A 15832-nucleotide genomic window follows, 5' to 3' on the forward strand; every position below is an offset into this window, starting at 1 on the left:
GTCACCTCTGTGACTAAGACCGGGCTTATAGCACCACAGGGAACTCACCCAGACCTGTGGGCTTTGGGTAGAGGTTGGCTGTTCAGAGGCTGTAGAGCCAGGCAAGGGAGAAGCGAAGGTGGCTTGACTAGACATCTCCTCTTTTTCATCTTCAGTGCTCTGTGCCTTGGGATGTGCACCTGTTGGGGTGGTTCTCCTTGCCCTGGTTTGTCTCTGGGGCTGCCATGAGAGTGACACAGGTCAGAGTGGGAATAACGTTGCTGGTGGAGGGTGGTGATGGTGACTGCTGCCATCATCCCTGCACCCTGCATCCCCGCTTGGAGCTGTTCCCCTAACACCACCACCCTCTCCATCTATCCCTAGTTCTTAGACAAGCCAGAAGATGTCTTGCTGAAGCACCAGGCCAGCATCAATGAGCTCAAAAGGACCCTGAAGGAGCCCAACAGCAAACTCATCCACCGGGATCGAGACTGGGAACGGGAGCGCAGGCTGCCCTCCTCCCCCGCCTCCCCCTCCCCCAAGGGCACCCCTGAGAAAGCCAATGAGGTAGGTGTCGCCCTGAACCCCTCGATAGGGGCCTTGGGTAAAGAGACATTGGGTTGCTGCATCCTGACTTACACTCATCCTCCACACCAATATGCTTCCCCCATTGCTGCTTAGGGGCTGGTGGGGATGGAGAGGGTGGTAGATTAGGCTGAGGGAGATGAATTCACTAAATCTTGGAATCCTGGGTCCTGGAGACCAACTTAAAACATGAAAAACTCAAGACTCATGGTAGCTTGGCGTACTCCCCTTCCATCAGCCCGAGTATAATGGGGAAGGGGTGCTGGTTAGAAATGCAGGTTTCAGGGCCCCAGCCCAGACCTACTGAATCAGATATTTGGACTCAGTGCTGGCATCGGCATCTGGACAAGTGCTGCAGAGGCTTTTCATGCACACTACATTTTGAGAATCCCAATAGCTCTCTCCAGAACCAGACCCTGTTGTGCCTATTGTGAAAACACGGATCGGGGAGTGGTCCCTCCTAGAAGGGGCTTCGGAGTCCACTGGAGGGGAATGGGCCCTTCACAGAAATCAGACCTGCTTCTGAGGCTTCAGAAAAGGATCTCACATGACCTGCCTTTCCGAGTGGAAAGAGTGGGGTGTTTTCTCGATTGAAGAAGAGATAAAGTTAGGATTTGGGGAAGCACTGCATTTAGACTCTCAAGTCAGTATTTTTAGCCCTTGCTAAATCTTGGCGATATTTACCCCAGTTTATACTTAGGTGTTTTCTCCCTGAAGCTATTGCTTACTGGTCTCAAATACGGTTGTGGTGTAGACTTGCACTGCCTGGGTTTGAATTCTGGCTCCGCTGCCTGCCAGCTGGATGACTTTGGGCTTGTTACTTAACCTCTCTGAGGCTCGTTGGGTAGAGATAATAAAAGCACCTACTTCATGGGGATGTTGTAAGGATTAAACGAGATAATGCACGTAGAGGGACTAGCAGAGTACCTTGATGCGCAGTGTGAGTTATTGTTTCACTTGAGAGTTCCAGACTCTTCCACAGAGGAGGTTAACTTCAAATCAGGATAAAGAAAGCATGTTTCAATCCAAAGTGTTAAAGTCAAGCATACTAATTTAACTAGAGGCATTCACAGACGACTTTTCTTTAACAAATAAAATTCCCCTTTCCTAAATAAAATAAAAGTTGAAAGGGCCCTGGGAACCTGCTCAGAACCTTCATTTTACAGATAGGGGCACCGAGACCCAGAAAGAGGAAGGACTTATTCAGTGTCTTAGCTGATGGAAGAGGAACCAGAACCCAATTTTCTTGTGACCCAGGCTATTGTATGTGCTATTAAATCACAGCTGCCTAGGAGCAAGACCAAATCACATAAAGACCAGGTAGAGAGTCAATTGTATGTGTGCTGCCCTCTAATGCTTTGAAAATTGGTGATGCACCCATGATCTAATTAGCAGAGCATTTTATTGGATCAGTGCTACCATGGCCTGAACCTGCCAGATAACAGACGGCTTTGTCTAGTAAGGCATAAGTCCAGAGAGAGCTACTGGGGTGGCTTTCTGGTTTGTGAGTCACAGAATTAGGGATGCTTTGGGGGCCTTTAAGGCTGGTGCTGTGGAAGAAGGGCAGACCTCTGCATCCATGAAGGGCCTCTGTTTGCCTCTGGCACAAGCAAGACCCTGGGCTGGGTGGCGGAGGCTGGTCTAGTGATCCAGTGAACAACATCCTCTTCTGCCCTTCAGCGTGGCCCCTAATCAATCCTGATGTGGGCTGGCCAAGCTTGGCCTGGCTGTGGGCGAGGTGGGATGCAGAGGCTACTGAAAGAGTGAGTCTCCAGAAGAGAAGGGGAGGATGAGCCCTGGGAAGTGAGGTCTAGACCTCTGGAGTGTCTCAGTGTAGCCTGGTGTAGGGTGTGCCCCACCTGCTGGTGATAGCTGGAACTGCTAGAAGATGGGTCTTAGTAAAAGGTGGAATCTGCTCCACCTCCCAGCCCTGCTCAGCCGCAAGAAGTATAGTCCACTGCTGGAAAGAACTATGGTCCAGGAGCTCACCCTGGAGCTATGGACCATTCAGAACTGGCTTACAGGCCCCCTTGGCATTTAGGGGCCTTTGAAGATTTGGGAGATGGGGAGGTGCCATAGACAAGGATTGACTGGCTCCTTGGGTAACTTCCCCTTTTTGAGCCGCATTGCCTAGTCCACCTACAGGAGGACCAAAATGGTCATTCCATAGGGTAGTTGGGAAAGTAGAGTGAAATAATTAATATAAAAGCACTTTCTCAACTGGAAGGTGCTGGGCAGTCATGGGGCTGTTGCTGTTGGTGACTAGAATCCCTGATCCCAAAATCAGTTTTGTGGGGGGCATCCTGAAGATGCCTGTGTCATCCAGAATTCCTAGCAGCCTCCTCGTATATTGTTGGGCCTCATCTGGGCCAAGGGGAAAACAGAGGGAACTCTAACTGTTCCCATTTGCCAAACCCAAGTTTCAGTGTTTAAAGGGGGCTGTAATCCAAACTGCAGGGTTGAACCATAGCCTAAGCCAGAGACATCTGGAGCCAGAGTCTAAATGATATGGCTCCAACATCTCTGAATGAGAGTGGGCAGGCCATGGGGGAAGGGCACTGGGGCTGACTGTGGGCCTCCCTCCCTTAAGTGGCTCAGAAGGGCAGTCCCTCCCGAGCTCACCCCACAGAGTGGCTACTCCCTGACCTAATCCACAAATCCTACAGATATGGGACTTAAAAAGCTGGGCTATTTATGGACTTTGTGTGTGTGTCTCTCTCTCCTACTTTTTCTCTTTCCCTCTCTTCCTGTCTCTGTCTCTCCTTCCCTTCCTCCCTCTTTCCCTTTCCTCTGGCTCTGGGCCTCCCCTGCAGTCCCAGAGGACCCAGGACATCTCTCAGCGGGACTTGGTACCTGAGCCTGGAGCAGCCGCAGGCTTGGAAGTGTTCACTCAGAAAAGCCTCGCAGCATCTCCTGAGGTTACTGTCTTCACCTTCCTGTGCCCCTTCCTCCTGCCCACCCAGAACCACCCTCTGTGGTCTTAAGAAAACCCTTTCTCTGGGGTGAGGGGAATGTACCAGATTCTGCCAAGCAGTTGGAAGCAATGGGTAACCCATGCTGTCTCCATGCTGTGATAAGGAAATGTCCCCATCCCAGAGATCCATAAAGGGCCAGCCCCTCCCTCATCCATTGTTTCTCAGGAGGGACAGGACTGCAACCATTCTGGGAAGACAGAACAGCCTGCATTGCCTTTGGCCTCGAAGGAGAGGCAGGAATGATCTCCCTCTTTCAGGTCCTGGTGAGGCAGGTGACTCTAGAGGCAGGCCCTGACTTCTATGCTTAGGGTCAGGGGTCATGCTAGAGGCAGGCTCTGACTTCCATGCTTAGGGTCAGGGGTCATGCTAGAAGCAGGCTCTGACTTCTATGCTTAGGGTCAGGGGTCATGGCACCCAAATGCCTTCTGCCTTAAGGTCTTTTCTCTGTTCAGAAGCCTGAATGGTCTAGCAGTGGTTAGTTAGGGCACGACATTCCAGGCATCTCCGGCCTGCGTCTTCTCTGAACTCCCCTGGAGCTTGGGCCCATCAAGGAGGCAGGCAAAAGTGGACATCTTTCTCTAAGGAGTATCCTTAGGGTTGTAGAGAGATTGGTCAGGCAAGTGTTTGAAATGAGGAGGCCATTGCTTCTATGCCCAGGGCGGCAGCAAGTGGAGGGCTCTTTGAACTTCCTGTGGCCCTTCATGGATGCTGGGCATAGAATCCAGGCCCAGGCAGGAGGCTGTGCTCCCTCCTCTGATGGGATTTTATGGACTATCAGGGTTGGAAGCTACTGAGCGATCATCTGGGCAGAACTTTCTTCCCCAATATCTGCCGCTCCCCTGTTGATGTATGCTCTCCTCTGAGGGCCTGTACCTTTCTCCATTCTCAGAGAAAACTTCTTTAGCTGCTGCAAACGTGCTGGAACTTTAAGAAAGACATAAATGAGCTACATAAGTGATAAAACATAAGTCATACTTCTACTCTATGAATTTTTCCTCAATCTAAAGAACAAAACTATCCGCACACTCTCTTGAGGGAAATCGGACAAGAGTCAACAGCATACCAAGGACAGGGCTAGAGAGATGCCCTGGACACAGAGATGCTCCTGTGACCAAGGACAGGTGCCCATTTGGGGAGCAGAGCCCACAACCTGCACCCCGCCCCCGCATCATTCTCCTGCAAATGTCCATCCAGCTCTTCCACAGCAGGCACTTTTGCTGTCCTTGGCGGCAGCCCATTAACTATTGGGAAGTTTTCGTGTTGAATTGAAATCTGCCTTTTCAAATTAGCAGCCTGTAGGTCTCATTCTGCCCGCTGGTGCCCGCTACCGCTCTGCATCCTCCTCCAGGCCAGCCCTTCGGAGACTTGAACACCTCCCCTTCCCTAGAACACTTCACTCTCTTCCCACTTTCTCCCAGGAAATGGTTTCTGGAGGGCCCCTTACCCTGGACCCCCTCCTCGTATAAAGGGCAGGCCTGGCTGGGCATGGTGGCTCACGCCTGTAATTCCAGCACTTTGGGAGACTGAGTTGGGTGGATCACCTGAGGTCAGGAGTTCGAGACCAGCCTGGCCAAAATGGTGAAACCCTGTCTCTACTAAAAATACAAATAATAATAATAATAATAATAATAAGCTGGGCGTGGTGGCGCGTGCCTGTAATCCTAGCTACTGGGGAGGCTGAGGCAGGAGAATCGCTTGAACTCGGGAGGCGGCTGTCAGTGAGGCAAGATCACGCCTCTGCACTCCAGCCTGGAAGACAGAGCAAAACTCCGTCTCAAAAAAAAAAAAAAAAAAAAGGCAGGCCCCAAAATGTGACCCAGAGCTCCAGGAGGGGCCTGAACAGCCTGGAGTCAGGAGAACAGCCAGGCTGGAGAGTTTCCTGTCTGTGCCTTGGGTGCAGACAGCTGTGAGCCCAACTGGCTCTGTTTCTCCCCACCCCTGTTGCCAGCTTCCTTTGCTGCAGTGCCCCTACCTGACGGCAGGGGGCGCTCTGAGCAAGGCACCGACGGTCCCCTGGCTCCAGAAAGAATGGCTGCGGGGCTGCGGCTACCTGGGGCTACCCTAAGATTATCCCATCTTGTGATTCGGGTTAGAACGACTTTCACGCCAACCCCTCGGGCCAGGTGTGTGGCTCTACCCGTGCCTTCGCACCGTGGAAGTTTTTTTCTTTTTTGTTCAGTTTTCTTTTCCTCTTCAGGATCCTACATTTTACTTTGTCCCCCGCTGCTCAGCCTGTGATCTTGCGCATGGCCTCTCCCCTCTGGGATACCGTTTCGCCTTCTGAAATAAGGATAACGATATCTGCTTCACAAGTTGCCATTTGGATTAAATTTAATAACTCAGACAAAGGGCTGGCATTGCCTGGCACATAGCAACTAACAATCACTATACGTTTCCCCTTTCTTCCTGCAGAGTCTACTTTTCATTCTCTGCCAGCACCTGCGCCACTCACTCTTGCTTATCTAGCCTAGTTGCTAGTTAGAATTGGGGCAGGAATGTTCCAGAAGGAGGCATATTGACTGGCTTTGGCCATCATTGCCAGGCGGATGTCAGTACAGCTGGAATGGAGGCAGCTGAAGGAACCTGCTTCTCAAGGAAATGAGCAAAAGGACCTAGCTTCCGTAGGCTCTCAAAGCACGTCCCTTTGGGATGGTTCAGGAGCTGTGGTCCTGAAGCCTTAATGACCTGAAGTAAAAGCTCAGAAACCCACCCCAGACTTTACCTAGACCTTCCCCCCTTCCTTTTATCTCGCTTTCCCATGAACAAGATTATTTTAATGGGTTCTGATTCCCTGACAGAGAGATTTTCTCAAAACACAGTGGGGACAGAGGGTTTATGATGCTCTCTTGAGCCTTCAAAATGTTTCAGATCTTATGGGATCTGACAGACTCCTCCTCCCTGTGGGGTGGGATTAACAGACTCCTCACCAAGTCATAACCTGAAAAGGAGCCCAAGGTCATATAAACCTTCCCCCTCCTGCTGCCAGGAGAAGTTCTGGGCATGTCTCCCTGTGGAGGTGGTCATGGTAGGGTGGAGAGGACACACTTCACAGAACTTGGCGTCAGAGACTGAGTTCAAGGCCTGCCTTTCCACTTGCTCCCTGTATGGCCTTGGGCAAGATGCTTCTCCAGGTCTGAGTTTCCATATCTGTATCACGAGGGGCTCTAGTTGGGGCAGTGAGGAGGGAGGTACCTCAGGGCATTAAGGCCGCCCACACCCCCAACTTTACCAGGGCAGCTCTGTATTTCTGTCACATAGCCGACTTGCATTAAAATTTTGTGGGAAGTATCCTGTGGCCACAAGATGAAAAACCCAGTGACCTTCCTGCTTTTCTAACCACCCTAGAAGTCCATCATCCCTCCCAGGCATTGTTTGAAGAACTCTTGGGGGAGGTAGAGGCTGTTGGGAGATGGCCTAACAGTGCTGCGATCTGGTGCTTTTTTTTTTTTTTTTTTTTTTTTTTGAGATGGAGTTTTGCTCTTGTTGCCCAGGCTAGATAGAGTGCATTGGTGCGATCTCGGCTCACCGCAACCTCTGCCCCGCAGGTCCAAGCAATTCTCCTGCCTCAGCCTCCCAAAGTGCTGGGATTACAGGTGTGAGCCACCGCGCCTGGCCTTTCTTTTTTTTAGACGGAGTCTCGCTCTGTCACCAGGCTGGAGTGCAGTGGCACAGTCTCGGCTCACTGCAACCTCCGCCTCCCAGATTAAAGCAATTCTCCTGCCTCAGCCTCCCAAGTAGCTGGGATTACAGGTGCATGCCACCATGTCTGGCTAATTTTTTGTATTTTTAGTAGGGATGGGGTTTCACCATGTTGGCCAGGATGGTCTTGATCTCTTGACCTCATGATCTGCCAGCCTCAGCCTCCCAAAGTGCTGGGATTACAGGCGTGAGCCACCGCGCTTGGCCTCTGGTGCCTTTGATGCACGATGATGCTTAGATCTTTACCTCTCTCCCTTCCTTGATGCATTCTATTGAGTTCTTTTCTGCTCTTTCTATGGGTTTTGTTAGAATTAGAATGGGCCCTGGTATTTGTTTCTTTTAGATTGAACACCACAGTGTTCAAGCTGTTTAAGCCATTGTGGTGCCTGGCACTAACGTGGTCATGTGGTATCTCCATGACTACTATGCTTTCTTCCCAGAAGCCCTTGTAGAAAGGTTCGATTTCAGGCTGTGGCCTGTGGAACTTAATGCATCCCTTCAATTTGCCATTAGGTCACAGTTGGCACCCATATTCCATGGTTGTGAAATAAGTTAGCAAAGATCTCCGGCCTCAAAAATCAGGCTTTCTTTTCCTGACTCTGTCTTCTACTAACAGTGACCTTGGGCAAGTCACTGTCCATCTCTAGACCTGTTTCCTCATTTACACAATATGGAAATGAGACTGGATAACATTGTAAGAGTACTTTTGACTCTAACATTCAAAGACTCCATGTGATGGAAATGACTTTCCCCTCTGACGGTGGCAGTTATGTTATTAAAAGAGGAAGAGGAAGGGTCCTGGCCCATCTGTGGATCTCCATTTCCCCATGGCTGACATGGGAAGGGCATAAGACCCCATCCCATTTTATCAAGTTGGGGGCAGTGGTTGAGGAAAATTGGTCAATAATTTATCAAGTGCCTGATGGGAAGAGGGACCTTGATGAGAATGGCTGGCACGTCATGCCTTCCTCTCCCCAGCCAGTTCTGGGGATGTGCTGTCCCAAAGTCAAACATTTCAGTGGTAGATTGGTCCCCTCTTACAAAGGGAAAAACTCACCCATTCTTCAGGTACCTGATATTTCATGTTAACTCTTCTTGCTCCAATTGAAACACAGGGTTCAGAGCATTGGGTATTTATAGAAAGAGAGTACACTAGGCCAGAAGAGCTCGGTCTCCTAAAAGTGACCACCATGCAGCAGGAAGAAAGGCAGGCAGGCCTTGCTGGTATCCTTGCCAACGGCAGACTCTCCAAGGTAGACGTTCTGGTGGACAAGTTCAAAGTGGAAGTGGCCACAGAAGAAATGGTGGGAAACAGAAGAGCAAACACCCAGCAACAAGGAAAAATGATTGCAAGTCCTGAAGACTTTGAGTCAGTGGGGGAGGAAGGCCCCTGGATCAGGGAAAGCCCAGGAGGGGCTGCCCTGGCTTCCGGCCGCACATTGGCAGAAAAGCTCCTCGAGGGCTCTGAGCTCAGGGCAGACACCAGAGAGGCAACCATCAGGAACCGCTGCATGTCAGATGGTCAGCCGGAGGGCCAGACAGAGCTGAGGAAGGGGCTGGAGGAGCCTCACACTTGTGGGAGACCCACTGCTCCAGGGACCAGGCCAGCAGAGGTGGACGTCCTCTCTCCAGCCTCCGACAAGGGAGGACTCCAGTCGTTTCTATTGGATCCAGCCCACGCAGAAGCCAGAGCTGAGTTGAGCAATGAAACTGATACTTCCTTTGCAGAGAGGAGCTTCTATTTAAATTATGAAGAAAAAGACTCAGAAGACCAAGTCCTCCCTCCACCCCTGGAGGAGAGAAAAGGGCGCCTGGATGCCCCTCCCGGAGGTGAGCCCAGGCCGACGCTGAATTCCTTAGACCTGAGGGTTTCTGCTGCTGCTTCCAGCAGGAGCAAGGACGAAGCCCACATGACTTCCCCAAAGGAAGGGGCAGGGACCCCCAAGAACCATGGAGGACCTGGTGACCTGAAGGGATCTCCCGCAGGACAGACGTTTGCTGAAGGCTGGGAAGATGCCCAGTGGGGAGTGGAAGGAGAGTTTCCCCACCTGACAGCCAGCGCAGCCCGAGAGGAAGGGACCCCCGTGAGTGGAGATTTGCTGGGAAAGGCTGAGGAAAGTCCCACAGAGGAACTGAAGAAGCACCCTCCTCACAGAGGACAGGGCGTGCATCCCGACCCCCAGGCCTGCGCCCTTCCTCGGGCCATCCCTCTGAATGTCAGGAAGCCAGTCAAACCAGACAGAGGCAACTTCCCACCCAAAGAGAGGGGAGTGGTTCCCACCCAGAAAGGAGGGGCTGAGCTGAAGGACCGCGAGGCTTCAGCATTTCTTCACATGGAGGTGATCATTCCCCTGCCAGCCTCCCCTGGTCATTCTGAGGACCTGGCAGCTCTGGAGGAAGCTTCTCCAAGCCCAACCTCCCATGGGTCAGGGGAGCCTTCGGAGCTCAGGGAGCCCTTTCTTAGACATGTCCATCTTTCGAAAGCCAGCCCAGAGCCCAAGGACCAAGTAGGGTTTGTGGTGTCCCCTGCCACAGGAGGTGAGCGCAGGCCTCCTCCCATCACCAGCAGAAAGCCCAGAGTAGTCCCTGAAGAAGCTGAGGGGCGCATACCTCTGGGGTTTGGGTTCCCTTCAGGGAAGCGAAGGGAGATGACCTCTTTCCAGGCTGGGGACCAAGAGGGCTCCCTAGAAGATATTAGCAAGACCTCAGTGGCCAACAAAATTCGGATATTTGAGACCCACGGAGCTGAAACTCGCCGAATGAGTGAGGGTGAAGCAAGGTCCCTTCCAAATGACGTATCTTCAGAGGCACCCGTGGGACAAGCAGAGCAGCAGCGGAGTACGCTCTCAGACCTGGGCTTCGCCCAACTCCAGCCCCCAGGGGACTTTGCCAGCCCCAAAGCCACACATTCCACAGTGATACCTCTGGCTACCAGACACTTCAGGGAGGACACTTCTGCATCCTACCAGGAAGCACACACGGAACTAGAGCCCGTGTCCCCCAATTCAGGCTGTGAAACCACGCTGGCAGAAGCTACTGGAACTGGGGTAACTGGCCGCGTGAGCCCCCGCCCCCACCGCTGCTCCCCGCCCATGGGGGCTGGCCGCATGCTCTGTAGTTTTTAGAAGCATGTTTCAGTGGCCCCTCGTCATTTCTGCAATCAGAGGCTGCTTATCCATCCCTGTGAGTTTTTTCCCTAAACGGGCCTGGGTGTAGCTCAGGCTGAATGATGGGCTTCTCTGCTTGGCCCATGTTAGCTTGGCCACAAAGACCCTCAGCTTTTGGTGTGACCTGGTGCCCAGAGGGTCACACAACCCCCATGGAGAAGGTGGCGCCACCACCAGCAAATGACACACCTGCTTTGCCTTGCCGCTCATACCCGCTGGGTTCCTGCCTACCTTGCTTGGCTTGTCCAGCGATCTTTCTTCATCCTTTCCCATCCCTGGTTCTCCCGCCTTGGGAAAGTTGACAGTCCAGAGGTTTCCATCCTTCACTTCTGGTTCCCTCTCAGTCCCAGTGCCAAGTTTCTTTCTGCCTCCTTAAGACTAACTGTCTTCTCTAATCCAGAACAAATCCGGAGATGCGGTCAGGGAAGAGAAGCGCTCCACCAACTTAGCAGCCAACACCCCTGGGAAGGGGGGGCGCCTGAGATTTGCCAGCCCCTCGGGCCCTCAGGTCTCTGCAGCCCCTCTGTGCCCTGATGACCCAGTCACCTTCACCCGGCCAGGATGCATCGCCGCCTTAGGTTCCCACCTGCTGTGGCAGCACCTCTCGTGCTGCTCAACTCTGGCTTGTCTGGAATGTCTCCCTCACACCTCTCAACCTTCCAGAAACTGGCTAAATGGAGGCTCGCTTAGCAAGTGAATGTCTAAGCCCACTGAATCCCTAGAACCAGAAGCCAAGTTCTTTACAAATCTTTCATGGGTATTAGGTTGGTCTTTAAAAAGAATGTTATGAACCAGCCAAAAATGTGTGTGTGGTGTTTAATCCCTGACAGGCCAGTTGAGAGGTATGTATGTCGGACAAGAGTTGCTGGTTCCCCGAGGCACTGCCTTGGCCCGCTGTTGTCAATTACACTGATGGGACCAGAGCCTCTACTCCCTGACTTGCCTGTGGTCCACTCATGGAGCCCAGGGTGGAGCTGGCGTAGCACTCAGCTCCCAAGAAGCTCGTGCCCAAAAGGCCTGACCCTGAATTGCTCTTCTCTCTAGTCGATGCTGACCCCTCCCCCGGAGACTCAGTGGAATTGACAAACATGTTGGCTTCCTCTTTTGTTCCTCAAAGTTCTTGGCTCCAACCTCTCTGCCTTCCCTTCCTGGGTCTCCCTGAATCCCTGGATCTCCCTCCTTAGTTTCTGTTTCTCAACGCCCACCTGCACGGATGGGCCTGGGGTCCGGGCTTCCATCCCTGCCTTTCGTGCAATGCTGCTTCCAATAAGCTCCCAGATCCAATACCCTTGGATGGAGCCTCCTGTCCAGGAGTCACTGGCAGGACGTTTGCTTTGTACTTGCTTTTGCCATCAGTGTGAGACCCTCAGAAAGGGGCATCTCCACTCTTGAGTCGTTTTTGTTTTTTTTATGCTTGTTATGATTTCAAGGAACCTTTCCTGGGGTGTTTTTCATTTCCTGGCCTGCTCTTCCATTCAGGATGTCGACACAGCCCCGAGATTTCTCCTGACATTCACCATCTTGATTTCTCTTTCTCTCTCTCTCCCCACCCCACATCCCCATTCTTTTGATTTTATCTGGCCATAGAGAGCAGGGCTGAGGGAGGGCTCCGAGGAGAAAGTCAAACCACCACGTCCCCGGGCCCCAGAGAGTGACACAGGCGATGAGGACCAGGACCAGGAGAGGGACACGGTGTTCCTGAAGGACAACCACCTGGCCATTGAGCGCAAGTGCTCCAGCATCACGGTCAGCTCTACGTCTAGCCTGGAGGCTGAGGTGGACTTCACGGTCATTGGTGACTACCATGGCAGCGCCTTCGAAGACTTCTCCCGCAGCCTGCCTGAGCTCGACCGGGACAAAAGCGACTCGGACACTGAGGGCCTGCTGTTCTCCCGGGATCTCAACAAGGGGGCCCCCAGCCAGGATGATGAGTCTGGGGGCATTGAGGACAGCCCGGATCGAGGGGCCTGCTCCACCCCGGATATGCCCCAGTTTGAGGTACAGTGGAGCTTCCTCAAGAGCCAGGCCCGCTGGGCACCGCATGCTCAGAGGGCCCTGGGCCACCCGTGAGAAGACCGAGCACCCAGCCTGCAGCCTGAAGCTCTGTCTCGTGTTGCATGACTGCCCCTCCGCAGAACAGCATGGTTCTGTGCTCGCATGTTTGCCATCTCGGTTTACCCCTAACACGCGCTCCTTGGTATTTTAACCCTGTGACCCCATCGCTTGCTGAAGTCGAGCGATGACAGGTAGTCTGGTCTTTCTTGACCCCATGCCCCCCCACCTGTGTTGCATGGCACCTGCAGAGAGCATGCGTCTGTGGACTCTTGGGGGCTCCTGCAGCCTGGTCTGAAAGCTGAATGGTTTTTCCTGATCCGGGCCCAGGCTTGTCTCTCTGGGGTCTGGGCTTCCCGGGGAAGGGGAAGCAGTTTAAATCCATCTGGCCCTGGGGTCTCAGGGTGGTAATGGAAGCTCCTGGAAGAGAGGAAATGTGGTCATTGAGGAGGGACAGACTGTCTCTGGGCCTCTCTGTGGTCTCCTCTGTAGAGCTGTGAAGGGATTTCTCTAAGGCACGCCTGCCCATATCATTCCTTTGCCCCCTCATCTCTTCTAGACCCAACCTCCCTCCTACACTCTCCTTTCCCCAACATTCCTGGCATTGAAATATGAGCTTAGCCACTCTGGGCTCTCACTTCATGCTATATTCTCTGAGCAGGTTTTTTTTTCTCCCTTTCGGTGCCTTACAAACCTATCATGTTCCAGGACCAAGTTCAAATGTCAGTTTCCTAGCAGGGGTTTGCTTTCCTGACCACCCTGGGCAGAAATATCGCCCCCCTACCCCCTTGCCCTGTAATGCCTATGCTCCAGCACTATCCAAAGCGGTCAGGTCAGTGGCTGACAAGCCTGCTCTCCCACCAGGTGGCAGCTCCTCTAGGCCTGGCATATACTAGGCACTAATAGATGATTAACTGGATGAATGGCTGGGTTACAGGGTTGCAACCATCTATAAGAATCCCCTTCAGCCAGGCACAGTGGCTTGTGCCTGTAATCCCAGCTACTCAGGAGCTGAGGCAAGAAGGCAGGGGGATCACTTGAGCCCAGGAGTTCGAGGCTACAGTGAGCTTTGATCGTGCCACTGCACTCCAGCCCGGGCGACAGAGTGAGACCTTGTCTCTTAAAAACAAAACAAAACAAGAAAAAAAAAATCTCCAGGCACAGTGGTTCACACCTGTAATCCCAGCACTTTGGGAGGCTGAGGCAGGTGGATCACCTGAGGTCAGGAGTTCAAGACCACCCTGACCAACATGGTGAAACCTTGTCTCTACTAAAAATACAAAAATTAGCTGGGCGTGGTGGCACCCACCTGTAATCCCAACTACTCGGGAGGCAGGAGAATCACTTGAACTCAGGAGGCAGAGGTTGCAGTGAGCTGAGATCACGCCATTACACTCCAGCCTGGGCAACGGAACGAGATTCCATCTCAAAAAACAAAACAAAAACAAAAACAAAACTATACTCAGAGGTCATAGTCACAGCTTGCCATACCCAAATGGACCCCACATGCTCTCTACTTCACCCCAGTCCTCAACAAACCCTCTTCACTCATTGACATCTCCTGCCTGGATGCTGTAGGCCTCCAAGCATGTGTGGCTCTTGCTCTAAAGAAGAGTCCAGGCTGGGCACGGTGGCCCACACCTGTAATCCCAGCACTTTGGGAGGCTGAGGCAGGTGGATCACTTGAGGTCAGGGGTTCAAGAACAGCCTGGCCAACATGGTGAAACCCCGTCTCTACTAAAAATACAAAAGTTAGCCGGGTGTGGTGGCATGAGCCTGTAGTGCCAGCTACCTGGGAGGCTGAGGTAGGGGAATCGCTTGAACCTGGAAGGCAGAGGTTACAGTGAGCCGAGATCGCACCATCGCACTCCAGCCTGGGCGACAAAGGGAGAGTCTGTCTCAAGAAAAAAAATAGAAGAGTTCAGCTGAAGCGGCTGAGAGGTGGTGAGCTCACCAGGATTTGGTGACATTATGTACACAAGGAAAACACTTAGCCCAGGGCCTGTCATAGAGTATGTTAATGAAATGGTAGATGTTCTAATAGTAGCCTAAAAAACAGCATATAGCCACCATGAGGGTGTGTGGCACAGGGGCGCAGGGCAGGCCTGCCTGGTCCTGGTGGTGGTCCTGGCTCTCCTCGCGGGCTATCTGTCTATGATATCACACCACAACTCTTTTACCCTGTCCAGAGTACCCTTCCAGAGATGTGGCCAGCTGTGGGGATAGGAGATAGCCTGCAGACACCACACTGCAATTGTCTGTGAGCAAGGGTCATGCTAGGGTTTCAGTTACAGAGCATTCTCCCTCCTTTTCCTACAGCCCGTGAAAACAGAAACCATGACTGTCAGCAGTCTGGCCATTAGAAAGAAGATTGAGCCGGAGGCCGTACTGCAGACCAGAGTCTCCGCTATGGATAACACCCAGGTAACTTGTGCCTTCCAATGTACCCTAAGCATGGGTATTGGGCATTTGGTGGTAGGGTCCCCACTGCTGTGGCCAAACCCCTTGGCCAGCTCTTTTAATCTCAGCTTCCCTGGAACCCATATGTTAATCCTGATGCTCTCCTGTGCCTCAGTGTCCTCTCTGAGCTCTGGGGAGGGGCAACGGGTAAAGCAGGTTCCTGTCCTGGGCAGACCATACTTCTTAAAGCCTCCATTTAGCCATCCATAAAATGGGAATGACCCTGTCTACCCCTTCCTCCTGGGCATATTGGGAGGACTGTACTGACTAGTGGATTGGGACCTTGGTGTTCACATTGCTTGGAGGAGTTGGAGAGGTTTCTTGAGGTATCTCAGGGGCTGCTTGAGGAGAGAAGAGGGAGAGATCCCAATTCAGCTTCAGTCAGAATAGCTCACCTTGGGTCATTTTTTATGCATTAGAGTTCCACATCAGATCAGTAAAATGAACAAAGTGAAAGAAGAAAACCGAAGATCATGTGTCTTGACAAGAAGCAGCATCCTGACCACCTGGAGAAAGCCGTCAGGCATAGGCACAGGCCCACGACTTCCAGTCCATTCCCTGCACTCCTTCCATGCTTTTTAAACTTAGGAAGTTAAGATTGAGGATCTGATAGATGCCCTCCTGGTTTTTCCTGGCCAGAAGAGCTACAATGCTAGGAGCTTTTTTGCTCTGAGACTAACCTTTTCCTGAAGAACTGAAATAAGACCAGGCACAGTGGCTCACATCTGTAATCCCAGCACTTTGTGAGGCCAAGGCAGGCAGATCGCTTGAGCCCAGGGGTACAAGACCAGCCTGGGCAATATAGGGAGACCCCAGCTCTACAAAAAATACAAAAATTAGCTGGGCATGGTAGCACATGCCTGTAGTCCCAGCTGCTCGGGAGGCTGATGTAGGAGGATCACTAAAACCCAGGAG

At 52.3% G+C, this 15832-nt stretch overlaps 1 protein-coding gene across 54 annotated transcripts in view, besides 2 other annotated features; it reads left to right on the forward strand.

The window, feature by feature from the left end:
* EPB41L1 (erythrocyte membrane protein band 4.1 like 1) overlaps positions 1–15832 on the forward strand; it is a 141386-nt gene that overhangs the window by 106082 nt on the left and 19472 nt on the right. For 31 of the 54 annotated variants that reach the window (NM_001258331.2, XM_047439972.1, XM_047439975.1 and 28 more), the window contains 3 exons: positions 364–546; positions 11993–12403; positions 14777–14881. In NM_001258331.2, coding sequence (NP_001245260.1) covers positions 364–546; positions 11993–12403; positions 14777–14881 — 699 coding nt within the window. Of the gene's footprint in view, positions 1–363; positions 547–3377; positions 3483–8353; positions 10286–10805; positions 10914–11992; positions 12404–14776; positions 14882–15832 lie in introns of all 54 variants that reach the window. The other 23 variants (NM_001258330.1, NM_001424405.1, NM_001424404.1 and 20 more) reach the window with 2 other exon arrangements.
* Positions 2333–2382: an enhancer, noted in NCBI's record as "active region_17805". NCBI's record gives its function as "activates an Ori minimal core promoter by ATAC-STARR-seq in GM12878 lymphoblastoid cells {active_cell/tissue: GM12878}" and the evidence as "EXISTENCE:reporter gene assay evidence [ECO:0000049][PMID:35858748]".
* Positions 14443–15642: an enhancer, noted in NCBI's record as "BRD4-independent group 4 enhancer chr20:34799860-34801059 (GRCh37/hg19 assembly coordinates)". NCBI's record gives its function as "activates an origin of replication core promoter dependent on BRD2, P300/CBP, MED14 and CDK7 cofactors, and independent of BRD4, by STARR-seq in HCT116 cells {active_cell/tissue: HCT116}" and the evidence as "EXISTENCE:reporter gene assay evidence [ECO:0000049][PMID:35650434]".

Source organism: Homo sapiens, chromosome 20 (genome assembly GCF_000001405.40).
Source record: "Homo sapiens chromosome 20, GRCh38.p14 Primary Assembly".
NCBI lineage: Eukaryota > Metazoa > Chordata > Mammalia > Primates > Hominidae > Homo > Homo sapiens.